General features: G+C 44.6%; 1 protein-coding gene across 20 annotated transcripts in view; it reads left to right on the top strand.

Annotated features, from left to right (window-relative positions):
• Positions 1-15,851, top strand: part of ZNF676 (zinc finger protein 676) — an 81,216-nt gene that overhangs the window by 7,139 nt on the left and 58,226 nt on the right. For 4 of the 20 annotated variants that reach the window (XR_007066660.1, XR_007066659.1, XR_007066654.1 and 1 more), the window contains 5 exons: positions 5,108-5,191; positions 6,310-6,421; positions 6,742-6,777; positions 7,133-7,388; positions 7,734-9,909. The gene's annotated coding sequence lies outside the window, so the exon portion shown is untranslated. Of the gene's footprint in view, positions 1-5,107; positions 5,192-6,309; positions 6,422-6,441; positions 7,389-7,733; positions 9,910-13,397; positions 13,969-14,012; positions 14,301-15,851 lie in introns of those variants that run through there. The other 16 variants (XR_007066656.1, XR_007066655.1, XR_007066663.1 and 13 more) reach the window with 15 other exon arrangements.

The raw sequence follows: 15,851 nt of genomic DNA, 5'->3' as shown, positions 1-15,851 counted from the left end.
GGTTCATACATGGATTCGGTTCACAGGTGGGTTGGTGACACTAAGACCAAGATCCAGCATATCTGTGAGGCTTTGACTCCACTAAAGGGACACAGTCTGTAGGAGGGATTGAGGCTCTTATGGATGGATTCAGCAAACTGTTGAGATTGTGGGTTATACACCTATACCCAACATACAGGAGGTGGTGCCTCTCATACCTAGAACCAAGACATGATCAGGATGGTTAATCTCATCTCTGGACCTTCATGTAGCTGTGACTGTGACATATACCTCAGCCTAGCACTTGAGCAATTTTATGCTCCTGCCTGGGCTCAGCCCACAGACTGGGTAGTGACATCTTTCTGCACCAGCGCTTAGTCAATGTCTTGGTTCTGCCCATAGAGACAACTTTGACATATTGTGGCTCCTCGCACTTAGGTTATGTGACTCTCGTGCCTGTGTTTTGCCCACATGGGCCATTGTGACATATTGCTGAGTCCAACATGAAGGTGATGTAATCCTCCACCCTGTCCTCTGCCTACAGAAGGCATTGTAACATACCTTTTGGTCCCTCACATGGGTGATATTACTCTCTGGCTCACCCTTCTTTCAAGGGGTATTGGGACATACTGCTGTACCCAGCATCTAGGTTATGTAAATTTTTCTCCTGCTTTGGCTGTGCCCAGTGAGGGGTTATAGAGTATCTCTGGGCCCAGCGCCTAGGTGATTTGACTCTTCTTTTTTTTTTTTCTTTTCTTTCTTTCTTTCCTACTTTCTTTTCTTTTTTTTTTTCAGACAGAGTCTCACTCTGTTGCCCAGGCTGGAATGCAGTGGCACGATCTCAGCTCACTGCAGCTTCCGCCTCCTGGGTTCAAGCGATTCTCTTGCCTCAGCCTCATGAGAAGCTGGGATTACAGGTACCCACCACCATGCCCAGCTGATTTTTCTATTTTTAGTAGAGACAGGGTTTTACCATGTTGGCCAAGCTGGTCTTGAACTCTTGATCTCAGGCAATCCACCTGCTTTGGCCTCCCAAAGTGTTAAGATTACAGGCGTGAACCACCATGCCCAGCCAGGTGAGAAAGCATCAATATTACAAGGATCATTTATAAGTCTTGAGTTCTTAACAAATGTTGATATCTGCAAAATTAAGTGTTCTACTTAAGAAAACATTGAGCAAGCTTATCTTGCATTTCTACACAAAGAGCACAACAACAATATAATCCACAACAGTAAAGTAAAATAAGTAAAATTATCCCAAGTAAAGTAAAATAAGTAAAATTATCCCAAGTAAACTAAATAAGGGCAAATGTTGGGAAGAAGCTGATATGGGTTTGCTACCTGATTCCAATATGTGTTCAGAATTAGATTAGTGATCCGGATTTTTTTTTTTTTTTTTTGAGATGGAGTCTTGCTCTGTCGGCCAGGCTGGAGTGCAGTGGTGCAATCTTGGCTCACTGCAACTCTGGCTCCCAGGTTCAAGTGATTCTCCTGCCTTAGCTTCCTCAGTAGCTGGGATTACAGGCACGTGCCACCACGCCCGGCTAATTTTTGTATTTTTAGCAGAGACAGGGTTTCACCATGTGGGCCAGGCTGGTCTCGAACCCCTGACATCGTGATCTGCCCACCTCGGCCTCCCAAAGTGCTGGGATTACAGGCATGAGCCACCGTGCCTGGTGCCTGATCTGGATTTTTATATTACCCATCTCTCTTGTTTCTTTTGAGCTGCAGTCAGAGATCACTGGTGTGTTCAAAGGAATAAGCAGAATTAGTCTAAATAGCAGGGAAAATACTCAAAAACAACAAATGAGACTAGTGTGTAACAACAGGTGTACCATAGTTCTTGAAACATGATTTTTTTCTCTCTCCAGTCTTCCATTTCTACTAAAGACAAATCATGGTAAAACTGATTTACTTGCATAAAAAGCTTTAGTCTTATAGTTGGCCTGATTATTTGTATAAAGTGCAGCAAAAATAATTATTTTTCACATAGGTTTTTAAAATTGGCTTTGATATAACTATGTTCCATTAAAGGAATATCAGAAAAGACTTTTTAAAAGCCAAGCCCAGCCATGGGTTTGTACCATCAGATACCTGTGAGTTGGGTGAATTTCTCTCTTCTTGGGGTCCCAAGACAACTTCAGGCTCCTGATTCTGTCAGAAAGAGACATTCCTGGCCAGGCATAGTGGCTCACACTTGTAATCCCAGCACTATGGGAGACCAAGGTGAGTGGATCACCTGAGGTCAGAAGTTTGAGACCAGCCTGCTCAACATGGTGAAAACCCATCTTGACATGAAATACTAATATTAGCTGGGTGTCGTGGCATGCACCTGTAGTCTCAGTTACTCAGGCAGCTGAGGCAGGAGGATCACTTGAACCTGGGAAGCAGAGGTTGCAGTTAGTTGAAATCACACCATTGTACCCCAGGCTGGGTGATAGAAGGAAACTCTGTCTTAAAAAAAAAAAAAAGAAATGACATTCCTTACTTACCATGGGTCAGGAACCCTGCACAGGGACTGTGTAGACATAGTTGGAAGCCATCTCCATCTCAAAAACAAACAAACAATGACCAAAAAACAAACAAACAAACAAACAAAAAACAGGTGGGCAGGGTAATGTGTTCCTATAATCTCGGGTACTCAGGAGGCTGAGGCATGAGAATCACCTGAACCCGGGAGGTGGAGGTTGGAGTGAGGTAATCACGCCACTGCAATCCAGCCTGGGCAACAGAGTGAGACTTTATCTCAAAAATAATAATAAAAATAACTTGCCTTCTTAAAGATTATTAAAAAGGCAAAAACCTTTCCTTTTTGATAAAGACTTAGCTTTCCAAACTATTTGTCTCCTGTCTTTTTTTTCTTGTAGTTTATTCAAAAGGCAGACAAAAATTTTTCATTTTTCAAAATATAATATAAAAATCTTGTTTAAAAGAGAAGCCTACATTTCACGTATGAATTAGTGTACTATTGATTTCAAACCCAGTTTTTTCTTTTTTTTTTTTTGAGATGGAGTTTCACTCTTGTCACCCAGGGTGGAGTGCAGTGGCATGATCTTGGCTCACTGAAACCTCCGCCTCCTGGGCTCAAGCAATTCTCCTGCCTCAGCCTCCCTAGTATTTGGGGTTACAAGCATGTGCCACCACACTTGGATAATTTTTGTATTTTTAGTAGAGACGGGTTTCACCATGTTAGTCAGGCTGGTCCCAAACTCCTGACCTCAAGTGATCCTCCCTCCTTGGCTCCTGAAGTGCTGGGATTACAGGTGTGAGCCACTGCACCTGGCCAAAACAAGTTTTTAATAAAATCTTATATACAAGTCTATCCAATCTTAATCAGTTTGACCATAAGGCAAGATTTTCATAAACGTTTAATAACTCTGCAATTTTTGTTAAGGAACAGATCTGTGCTTTAAAAAAAAAAAAACCCGTTGTACTTATATTCCAATGTTTAATTTATTTAAAAAAACTGAATACAGGCCAGGCATGGTGGCTCACGCCTGTAATCCCAACACTTTGGGAGGCCAAGGCTGATGGATCACCTGAGGTCAGGAGTTTGAGACCAGCCTGACTAACATGGAGAAACCCCGTCTCTACTAAAAATACAAAATTAGCTGGGCATGGTGGCACATGCCTGTAATCCCAGCTACTAGGGAGGCTGAGGCAGGAGAATTACTTGAACCTGGGAGGCAGAGGTTGCGGTGAGCTGAGATTGCGCCACTGCACTCCAGCTTGGGCAACAGGAACGAAACTCTGTCTCAAAAACAAAAAAGAAAAAACAAAAAAAACTGAATAATATCTCTTTAACTTTAGCCAATATGTTCACACACAGAATTTTTTTTACAAGCTTAATTTTTACAAACCTTCCAAAACTTGCTCAAACCTTCAGCTCAATCCTAACTTAAAACAACTCTTTAGCCCTCTAAACTAGGCCAAAAAAATTAACATTTTTATGCCATCTTATGATCATTTACCAAAAGCACATTCTACTTTTCTTACACACCTTGCATGTAAAACTGCTTTTAGTTCCCAAAGATTACTTATGTCACATGAGATAAAAGGCATTACGTTTGTTCCTTTTCTGAAAAAAAATTAGACTTAAGCATTTATTATTTTTAAGCCAATTAATCAGAACTCTTTCATATATAACTATCACACATGGCCGGGTGTGGTGGCTCACGCCTGTAATCCCAGCACTTTGGGAGGCCAAGGTGGGCAGATCACTTGAGGTCAGGAGTTCGAGACCAGCCTGACCAACATGGTGAAACCCTGTCTCTACTAAAAATACAAAAATTAGCCAGGCATGGTGGCAAGTTCCTGTAATCCCAGCTACTCAGGAGGCTGAGGCAGGAGAATCACTTGAACTCAGGAGGCAGAGTTTGTGGTGAGCCAAGAATGCGCCATGGCACTCCAGCCCTGACAACAACAGTGAAACTCCATCTCAAAACAAACAAACAAACAAACAAAAAACCACAAAGGACAGTTGCACTAAATAACAGAAAAGATAAGAAAGAAAGAGGAGAGAAGGAAAGAAAAGCATTGCCTGAGGCAGGTTGGGGAAAGGGAGGAGCTCAGGGACGCCAGTGAAAGACCCACCCATTGCAGCGGCACTGAGAAATTCAGGCGGTGACTTCTCAGTCATGAAGGGATCTTTTCCAGCAATTTCATTAGCTCTCAAGTTTCCCCCTTTCTTTTAATATATATAAAATACTTTAAGTTCTAGGGTACATGTGCACAACGTGCAGGTTTGTTACATGTGATCATTAAAAAGTCAGGAAACAACAGGTGCTGGAGAGAATGTGGAGAAATAGGAACACTTTTACACTGTTGGTGGGACTGTAAACTAGTTCAACCATTATAGAAGACTGTGGTGATTCTTCGGGGATCTAGAACTAGAAATACCATTTGACCCAGCCATCCCATTACTGGGTATATACCCAAAGGAATATAAATCATGCTGCTATAAAGACACATGCACACATATGTTTATTGCAGCACTACTCACAATAGTAAAGACTTGGAACCAACCCAAATGTCCAACAATGATAGACTGGATTAAGAAAATGTGGCACATATACACCATGGAATACTATGCAGCCATAAAAAAATGATGAGTTCGTTTCCTTTGTAGGGACATGGATGAAGCTGGAAACCACCATTCTCAGCAAACTATCACAAGGACAAAAAACCAAGCACCGCATGTTCTCACTCATAGGTGGGAATTGAGCAATGAGAACACTTGGACACAGGAAGGGGAACATCACACATTGGGGCCTGTTGTGGGGTAGGGGGAGGGGGGAGGGATAGCATTAGGAGATATACCTAAAGTTTCCCCTTTTGAGGAGAATAGAAGCTCCCCATGTCTTATGATCCTGTACATGCCTAATCGTGTCACGCACAACTGTCAGCAAAGAGCACAGGGAAAATTAATCTAAAAAGTGCAGTGGCACGATCTTGGCTCACTGCAACCTCTGCCTCCCAGGTTCAAGACATTCTCCTGCCTCAGCCTCCTGAGTAGCTGGGATTACAGGCATGAGCCACCGTGCCTGGCCTGCCTCGTCGATTTTTTAACCAAGAGTGACATTACTGAGAGGGGCCTCTAACCCCCTAAATTTTTTTTTTTTTGAGCCAGAGTTTCCCTCTTGTTGCCCAGGCTGGAGTGCAATGGTACGATCTTGGCTTACCGCTACCTCTGCCTCCCGTGTTCAAGTGATTCTCCCACCTCAGCCTCCTGAGTAGCTAGGATTGCAGGCATATGTCAACACGCCCAGCTAGTTTTTGTATTTTTAGTAGAGATGGGTTTTCTCCATGTTGGTCAGGCTGGTCTCGAACTTCTGACGTCAGGTAATCCACCTGCCTCAGCCTCCCAGAGTGCTGGGATTACTGACATGAGCCGCCGTGCCTGGCCAACCCCTTAAATCTTAGAAAGGACTTGAACCTTCATAACTGGGTCCTCAAGCTTTTTATTAAGAGAGGTCTTTAACCCAATATGTCTTAGGAGAGACTGTACTGCTTCTATATTGGGCCTCTAACCCAATCCCATTTTTTACCCTGGTAGAATATACCCCACTAGTTACCCAAAGTTGGCTAATTGGTGCTGCAGTTTATTTCCTTTGGTTCAGTTTTCTCCTCAGTATAGTCCCTTTATAATTTGCCAGAAAGCTGTTACTGAAAAGGGCTTTTAATCCAGACCCCAAGAAGTCAGGGTGATCCCATGCAGTAAAATGAAAGCAAGTTTATTAGAGAAGTAAAGAAACAAACAAACAAAAAAAGCTGCTCCATAGGCAGAGCAGCTAATATAATTCTTGTCTCTTAAATTGGCTTTGACCATAGGAGGGATTGAGACAATTCTGGAAGCCCAGCACCTAGGTGATGTGACTTTCATCTTTTGTTTGGACCCTGTGCACAAAAGGAAGAGTGGCTTATCACTGGACCTCACACACAGGTGATGTAACGCTTCTGTCTAGGGTAATTGTGATACGTTCCTGTGCCCATCACCCAGATAATGTGACTCTTCTCTTTTCCTGAGACCTTCCTACAGTGGAGATTGTGACATATTACTTGGCCCAGTACCTATGTAATGTGACTCTTCTCTCATACCAGAGACTTGCACCTAGGGTAGTTGTGACATATAGCTGGGCTCAGCCCCTGGGTTATGTGACTCTTTTGATTATCCCCAGCTCTACCTGCAAGGAGCACTGGGAAATATATCTTTGGGCCCCTCAATTAGGTGATGTGACTCCCCTTCCTGGACTCTTTCCTCAGGAGGTATTGTGACATATTCCTGGAGCAAGTACCCAGGTAATGTAACTCTTTTCTACTGCTTGGACTCTACCCAAGGAGAGATTCTAATGTATCACTGGACCCAGCACCTAGGTTACATGACTTTCCTCTTGTGTCTGAGTCTTGCATAAATTGTGTATTGTGACAAATAACTGGGTCTAAAACCTAGTTGATGAGACTCTTCTGCATGGGCCCTGCCTACAGGGGTATTATGACATATGTTTTTTTCTTTTTTTAATCACCTATGTGATGTGCCTTTGTTCGCATGTGTGTGCATCCTGGCCCTGCCAAAAGTGGGGATTGTAACATATCACTAAACTTAGTACCAAGGTGTTATGATTCTCCTTGTTTGCCTGGGCCCTGCATATATTAGGTACTGTGACGTATGGCTGAGACAAACACCTAGGGCACGAGAGCCTCCTGCCTGGGTCCTGCCCACAAGGAACCTTTTGGCTTATCTCTGCATCCATGAACTAGGAGATGTGACTCTTCTTTTCTGTCTGGGTTCTGCAAAAACAAGTGATTGTGACATATCATCAAACCCAGCAACTAGACGATGTGATTTTTCTTCCCTGCTTGAGCCCTGGATATGCTGTGTATTGTGATATATGGCTGGGTCCAACATCAAGGTAATGTGACTCTCCTGAATGGACTCTGCCCACAGGAGTATTATGACATATCTTTACCTTTATCACTTTGGTTATGTGACTCTTTTTATTTCCCTGAGCCCTCTTGAATTAGGGATTGTGATATATCACCGAACCTAGCACCTAGGTGATGTGACTCTGTTTTATTGCCTGGGTCTTGCATTTTTTAAGTATTGTGACATGTCCCTGACCATAACACCTAAAGAATTGGGAGGCACCTGCTTGTACTCTGCCTATTGGGGGTGGGGGGGGGGGCATTGTGACATATCTCTGGGCCCATCAACTGCTTCATTTGACTCTCCTCTCCTACCCATGCTTTGTCAATAGGAGAGATTATGACATATCTCTGGAACCAGAACCTTAGTGATGTGACTCTTGTCTCCTGCTGAAGCCATGCCCACACAAGGGAAAGTGACTCATCACTGGACCCAGCACACAGGTGATGTAATTCTTCTGCCTTGTTTTTGTACCCAGGAGCCATTGTAATCCATCTCTGGGCCCATCATTTAAATGATGTGACTATCCTTTTCTTCCTGAGCCCTATTCACAGGGAAAATAGTGACACATCTGTGGGCTTCTCACCGAAATGATGTGACTTTCCTTCCTGGGCTCACCTCTCAAGGGAATTTTGACATATTACTGGACCAAGCACCTAGGTGATGTGGCTCTGACAAACGAGAAATTGTGATGTACCACTGTTCCACACCTAAGAGATCTGACTCTCTTTTCATGAGCCCTGCATTTATTGTGTATTGTGACATATGGCTTGGTCCAACGCCTAGGTGATGTGACTCTCTACTTCTTCCTCGGCCATGCCAAAGAAGAGGATTGTGACATATCACTGGATCCAGCACTTAGGTGATGTAAATCTTTTCTTTTGCTGAGCCATGCATATTTTTGGTATTGTGACATGTAGCTGGACCGAACACCTACAGGACTGGATCAGAGGCTACTTAATAAGCCCTGCCCATAGGCGGCCTTGTGACATATGTCTGCATCTATCACCAAAGTGATGTGACTCTTTTTCTGCCTGCATCCTGCACATAGAGAAGATTGTGACATATCGCTGGGCCCAGTAACCAGGTGATGTGTCTTTTCTGGCAGGTCTTTTCCCACAGGGAGCATTGTAAAATATCACTGGGCTCGGCCACCAGGTTATGTGACCCTTCTGCCTGTGCCCTGCTTCCTGGAAATGTGACATTCCTCATACAGCACCCAGGTGATGTGACTCTTCTGCTCATTTTCTACTTATAGTTGGGATTGTGACAAATATCCTGGCCCAACTCATAGGTGCTATGATGATTCCCGTACCTGGAATCAGCCAATAGGGAGATAGTGTCTCTTGTATTGTAGCCTAGGGAAACAAGTAAGATCCTGGGCCTCCTCTTTGTATGAATGTCATAAAGAGTTATCAATCTGACTGGGCAGTGTGGCTCATGCCTGTAATCCCAGCACTTTGGGAGGCCAAGGTGGGTGAATCACGAGGTCAGGAGTTGGAGAGCAGCCTGGCCAACATAGTGAAACTCTGTCTCTACTAAAAATACAAAAATTAGCCGGGTGTGGTGACATGTGCCTGTAATCCCAGCTACTCAAGAGGCTGAGGTGGGAGAATCACTTGAACCCGGGAGGCAGAGGTTGCAGTGAGCTGAGACCATGCCATTGCACTCCAGCTTGGGTGACAGAGTGAGATGAGGCTCCCTCTCAAAAAAAAAAAAAAAAAAGAGAAGAAAGAAAGAATTACCAATCTTTGGTGTGTTTCATAAACCATTTGGGTGGCACAAAGAATGTCTTCAGAGGGCTTAGCGCACAGGTGAGATTGTTTCTAAAATGCAGAAACTGCCAACTGTTAGGACTGTCACCCTTACACATGGCAAAAGCCAGCTAGTGAGCTCCTGAATCTCACAGGTGGACACAGTTCAAAGTTGGAATTGTGACTGTCATATATTAACATTTGGCCACAATTAAGGTGGTGACTCATTAATAAATGCAGTACATAGGTAGGTGAAGACTCTCTGATCTAGACCCTGTCAACTAGAGAGTGGGGACTCTGTAATCTGGACCTTGCCAACTATGCTCAGAAAGGTCTCAGAGCAGACTGTGACTTTTATGCACACTCTACAAAGCCCTCAGGCGGTGCAGAAAGTGTTCCAACAGAGCCCAGCACACAGGTGAAAACCCCTGCCTGTGCCCTGCCCATATGGGCAATTTTGACATGTTGCTGAGTCTGATACCTGGGTGATGTAACTCTCTGGCCTGGTCCTGCCTACAAGGTTTTCTGTAACATATCTATGCACCAGTCAACTTTGTGTTTTGATAATCCTCTTCTACCAATTTCTGCTCAAAAGAAGGATTTTGACAAATAATTGGGACCAGCACCTAGCTGACATTATTCTACTTTTCTTTCAAGGTTTGGTTTTCAGGGGATGTTGTGACATGTCACTAGGCTAACAGACAGGTGATATTCTTCTGCCTTGGCTCTTCCAAAATAAAGCATTTTTACACAGTGCTATGCCCAGGACCACAGTGACTGAGTCTCCTGCCTAGACCCTGCCCACAGAAAGATTGTAACATATCTCTAGACCCATCAACTATTTGATGTGAGTCTCTTCTTTTACCTTGTCTTTTCCCACAAAAGAGATTGTGATATGTCTCTGGGCCCAGCACCTAGGTGATGTGACTTCTTCTGCCTGGATCATGCCCATAGAAGGGAGAGTAACTTAATACTGGGCTTACCACAGACATGCTGAGATACTTCTGCCTGTTACTTGCCCGCAGGATGCATATGCCAGATTTCTGGGCCCATCACCTAGATGATGGGACTCTCCTTTCTGGGACCAGTACACAGTGGGAACTGTGATGCATTGTTTAGCTCAGCAGCTACATAATGTAACTCCCTTCTCATGAGAGCCCCCCCCCAACTTGGGTAATTGCAACATATAATCTAGCCTAGTTTCTAGGTTACCTGACTCTTACCTTATTCCTGAGCCTTACACAGAATCAGAAACATCTCTGGGCTTCTCACCTAGGTGAGGTTACACTCCTTTCTGATCTCTCCCTTCAGGGAATATTTTGACACATAGCTAGACCCAAAACCTGTGTGATAAGACTCTTCTATCTCTTGGGATCTGTCCAAGAAGAAATTGGGATGTATTGCTAGGCTCAGCATCTAAGTTATGTGAATCTTTTCTCCTGCTTGGGCCTTGCATACATTGTGTATTTTGACATATCGTGGGCTCCAACACCTAGGAAATTGGCGATTTCTACCTGTGGCCTGTCCACAGGAGGCCTTGTGATGTATCTCTGCATCATGACCCAAGAAATATGACCCTTGTTTTTAGCCTCCACTTTGCCCACAGGGAAAATTGTGACACATCGCTGGGCCCAGCAACAGGTGATGAATTTGTTTTGCCTGCACCTTGCCCACAGAAAACAGTGGAACATAGCCCTTGGCCTAGCACTAAGGTGATGTTTCTTTTATCCCTGGTCCCTGGCCTCAAAAATGATTGTGATTTTACCCTTTCCCAGCACTCATGTGATGTGACCATCCTGCTCACTCTCTACTGACAAATGGGATTGTTACATACATCTTGGCCTGGCTGACAGGTGCAATAATAACTCTCATACCAGTCACCAGGAGAGATACTGTCTCTTGTAGCTAAGCTTAGAGAAATGGGTAAGATCCTGAGTCTCCTTTTTGTAGGAAGGTCATAGATTATTTCCACTCCCTCACATACTGTATAAAGCCCTCAGGTGATACAGAGAGTGTCATCACAGGCCCAGCACACAGACGAGACTGTTTATCTTGTGTGCACACCCCACCAATTATTAGGATTATTGCATTCACACAAGGACACAGTGTACTGGAGAGTTCTTGAACTTCATACATGGATGCAGCTTACAGTTGGAATTGTGACTGTCATATGTAAACACCTGACCACAAATGAGATGGTGACTCATTTCTAAAACCATCTCATGGGCAATTGAGGAATCTCCTCTCCGGAGCAGGTCAATTAAAGAGATGTTGACTCTCATACATGGGTTTAGGGCCATGAGTACAATCATGGGTTCATACCAGCATGGAGGTCTCAGAGCAAATTCTGACTCTCATGCATAACATAAAAAGCCCTTGATTGATAGAGAGACCGTCCTCACAGGGCCCAGCACACAGGTAATATTGTGACACTCTTATGCACAGGTAGCCAATAGTAAAGATGGTCATCCTTCCACATGAACACAGACCACAGTTGAGGCTCTGAATCTCCCACTCAGAGGCAGTGGGAAGTTGAAGAATTAACTCTTATATGTGGCTCTGATCCATAGGTGGGTTGGTTACTCTCAGACCAAGATTCCCCACAGCTGTGAGGCTGTGGCTTCATTAAGGGGACACAGTCTTCAGGAGGGATTGGGTCTTTTGTGTACAAATCCAGCCCATTGTTGAAATTGTGATGCAGGTACTTAAACCAAACCTACAAAAGGTGTTGACTCTCATACCTGAAACTGGGACATGTGTGGGATTGTTAATTTCATTTCAGGATCATCCTGCTGGTGTGATTCTGATGTATGCTTCTGCCCAGAATCTGAGCGCTTTGACTTCCCAGCCTCGGTCCAGCCCCCAGTAGGGATTATGACGTATCACTTGGCCAAGCACTTAGCTGATGTGACCTATTCTCCTGCCTTGGCTCTGCCCATAGAGGACATTGTGATGCACTGTCAGGCCCTGCACCCAGGTTATGTGATTTCTGCCTGTGCCCTGACCACATTGGCTATTTTGACATATTGCACTGTCCAACACTCAAGTGATGTTACACTTCTTCCTGTGCCTTTCCTACAGGGGACATTATGAAATATCTCTGTGCCCATCATCCATGTATGTTGACTCTCTTCTTCTGCATGGATTCTGCTCACAGAGGGATTGGGACATATCTGGGCTCAGCACTCAGGTGATGTGATGCTTTTCTCTCTTTTTTTGAGATGGAGTCTCACTCAGTCACCTAGGCTGGAGTGCAGTAGCATGATCTTGTTTCACTGAAAACTCCGCTCCTGGGCTCAAGTAATTCTTCTGTCTCAGTCTCCTGAGTAGCTGGGACTACAGAAGCCTGCCACCACACTTGGTGTATTTTGTATTTTTAGTAGAGATGGGGCTTCACCTTGTTGGTCAGGCTGGTCTTGAACTCCTGATCTCAGGTGATCCACCCTCCTCAGCCTCCCAGAGTGCTGGGATTACAGGCGTGAGCCACTGTGCCCAGCCAACGCTTCTCTTTTTCCTATGTTCTGCTCACACAAAAAATAGTGGCCCAGCACAAAGGTGATGTGAGTCTCCTGCCTGGACCCTGCTCACAGGGAGCATTGTGAAATATCTCTGGGCCCATCAACTATTTGATGTGAGTCTCCTCTGTTACCTGGGCTTTGCCTATGGAAGACATTGAGACATATCACTGGGCCCAGCACCCAGGTGGTTTGATTTGCCTCTTCTGACCAGGCCATGCCAACAGATAAATAGTAACTTATCACAGGGTCCAGCACACAGGTGCTGTGGCTCTTCTGCCTGGCCCCTGCCCACAGGTGTCATTGATACATATCTTTGGTCCCAACATGTAGATGATGTGACTCTACTTTATTCTGGGACCTGTATACCGTGGGGATTGTGACATATGGCCAGGCCCAGCATTTATGTGATGTGATTCTCATGCCTAGGCCCTGCCCACTGCAGTGATTATGACATATATCTGGGTGCATCCCCTAGGTTATGTGACTCTCCTCTTTTCCATGATCCCTACTCATAACATGAATTGTGACCTATGTCAGGTTTTCTCACCTAGGTTATGTGACTTTCTTGTCTTTGTCCTTCCATCAGAGGGCATTGTGATATATTGCTAGTTCCATTATCTGGGTGATGTGACTCTCCTCACCTGCCTGTGCACCATCCAAAGGGGACATTGTGACAAATCCCTGAACCAATTTTCTACATAATGTGCCTCTTCTCTGTTGCAGGAGACATGCCCAAAAAAGGGATTGTGGCATAACTCTGAGCCCAGCACCCAAATGTTGTGACTCTCCTGCCTGAGCTCCTACCTATGAGAGTCACAGAAGATTATGACACTTATGGAAATTACATAAAGCCCTCTGGCAGTCCAAAGTTTTATCCCAGGGCCCAGTATGCAAGTGAGATTGTGACTTTAATACGCAGACAAAGCTAACACTTAGTATTGTCACCTTCACATATAAACAGAGCCCACTGGTGAGGTTCTAAATCTCACACACCAAAAAAATTCACAGTTTGGGGCAGGCACAGTGGCTTACACCTGTAATCCCAGCACTTTGGGAGGCCGAGGTGGGCGGATCATGAGGTCAGGAGATTGAGACCATCCTGGCTAACACACGGTGAAACCCTGTCTCTAGTTAAAATACAAAAAAAAATTAGCCGGGCATGGTGGCGGGTGCCTGTAGTCCTAGCTACTCGGGAGGCTGAGGCAGGAGTTGCAGTGAGCCCAGATCGTGCCACTGCACTTCAGCCTGGGTGACACAGCGAGACTCCATCTCAAAAAAAAAAAAAAAAAAAAAATTCACAGTTGGAATTGTGACTGTGATATGTGAATCTGCCCACAGGTAGAATGCTGACTCATTTCTGGATTCAGCTTAGAAAAATGGTGATGACTGTTTCACCTGGACTCAGCCAAATGGAGAGATGTTGACTCTCTTAACTAGGTGTGGTGGTTAATACTGTGTGTCAACGTGACTGGATTGAAGGATACAAAGTATTAATCCTGGATGTGTCTGTGAGGGTGTTGCCAAAGGAGATTAACAACTGAGTCAGTTGGCTGGAAAAGGCAGACTCACCCTTAATCTGGATGGGCACAATCTAATCAACTGCCAACGTGGCCAGAATATAAGCAGGCAGAAAAATGTGAAAAGAAAGACTGGCCTAGTCTCCCAGCCTACATCTTTCTCCTGTGCTGGATGCTTCCTGCCCTTGAACATCAGACTCCAAGTTCTTCAGTTTTGGAACTTGGAGTGGCTCTCCTTGATTCTCAGCCTACAGATGGCCTGTTGTGAGATCTAGTGATTGTGTGAGTTAATACTTAATTAACATATATGTATATATACGCACACCATTAGTTCTGTCCCTCTGGAGAACCCTGACTAATACAGATTTTGGTAACAGGAGTGGTTCTAGAGGAACAGAATATTAAGGATGGAGTTCTTTTTTTGATTCTGGTGTTTCGGGGGTTGGCTGCTTAATATGATTAGACCCAAAAATGCTAAGGACTCTACTTCTAATAGTGTGGAGAACACTGATAGTCCTAGGGATGAACTGTTTAGAGAGTTATGTAAAATAAATGCATTTGACACTCCTGATTTATCACTCTTGAGAGGCAAGGAGTTTAGTGACTCTATACATACCTTTCACCAGCTGAGCATGGTGGCTCACACCTGTAATCCCAGCACTTTGGGGGTGCTGAGGCAGGTGGATCACGAGTTCAGGAGTTCAAGACCAGCCTGGTCAAGATGGTGAAACCCCCTCTCTACTGAAAATACAAAAATTAGCCGGGTGTGTCGATGAGTGCCTGTAATCCCAGCTACTCAGGAGGCTGAGGCAGAGAATTGCTTGAAACTGGGAGGTGGAGGTTTGACCATATGTGGAGAACCAAGGAACATAATGAAGCTGGTTGTCCTAAGTTCAATGGACAAAGTGATGATAGAAAATGATGAACTCAGGCATTCTATCTTTTGGCTTCAGAAGCAGTTACTGAGCCTCAAATCTGCTAAGATTGCCCTGTGTGAGAGTCTCATCTCCTGTAGATGAAATTGTGGAAAAACACACACAAACTCTTATTATGTTAGTGACTGACCTGCAATGAAAGATGTATGCACAGCCTCACCAGGTGTCTACTGTTAAAGTGAGGACACTGATTGGAAAAGAATGGGACCCTGCCACTTGGAATGGGGACGTATGGGAGGACCCTGATGAAGCTAGGGGCTCTGAGTTTGTAAACTCTGATGAGCTTTTTGTCAGAAAAAACAGCTTCCCCATCCCCAGTAGTGGCAACATCCCCTTTCTGATGCATGCTGCCATCAGCCTTTCCACCTTTGTCTGAGATAAACCCTGCACTGCCTGAGGCAACTGTGATGGCCTCCCCTGAGAAAGTTGCCAGGCAAAATAATGTTGATTCTTCTCAGGACCCACCCTCAACACCCCTGTTTGCTTCTAGGCATATAAGTAGACTAAAGTCCCAGCGGCCCCCTAGAGGTGAGTTTGAGAGTGTGCCCCATGAGGAGGTACACTACACTCAGAAAGAACTGCTTGAGTTTTCTAATTTATATAAACAGATATCTGGAGAACAGGCTTGGGGATGAATATTAAGGGTGTGGGATTATGGTGGAAGGAACATAGAGTTGAACCAGGCTGAATTTATTTATTTGGACCCACTAAGTAGGAATACTGCA

Source organism: Homo sapiens, chromosome 19, assembly GCF_000001405.40.
Source record: "Homo sapiens chromosome 19, GRCh38.p14 Primary Assembly".
Lineage (NCBI taxonomy): Eukaryota > Metazoa > Chordata > Mammalia > Primates > Hominidae > Homo > Homo sapiens.
Note: the sequence above shows the minus strand (reverse complement) of the source record. Positions and strands in the feature narration are given on the sequence as shown.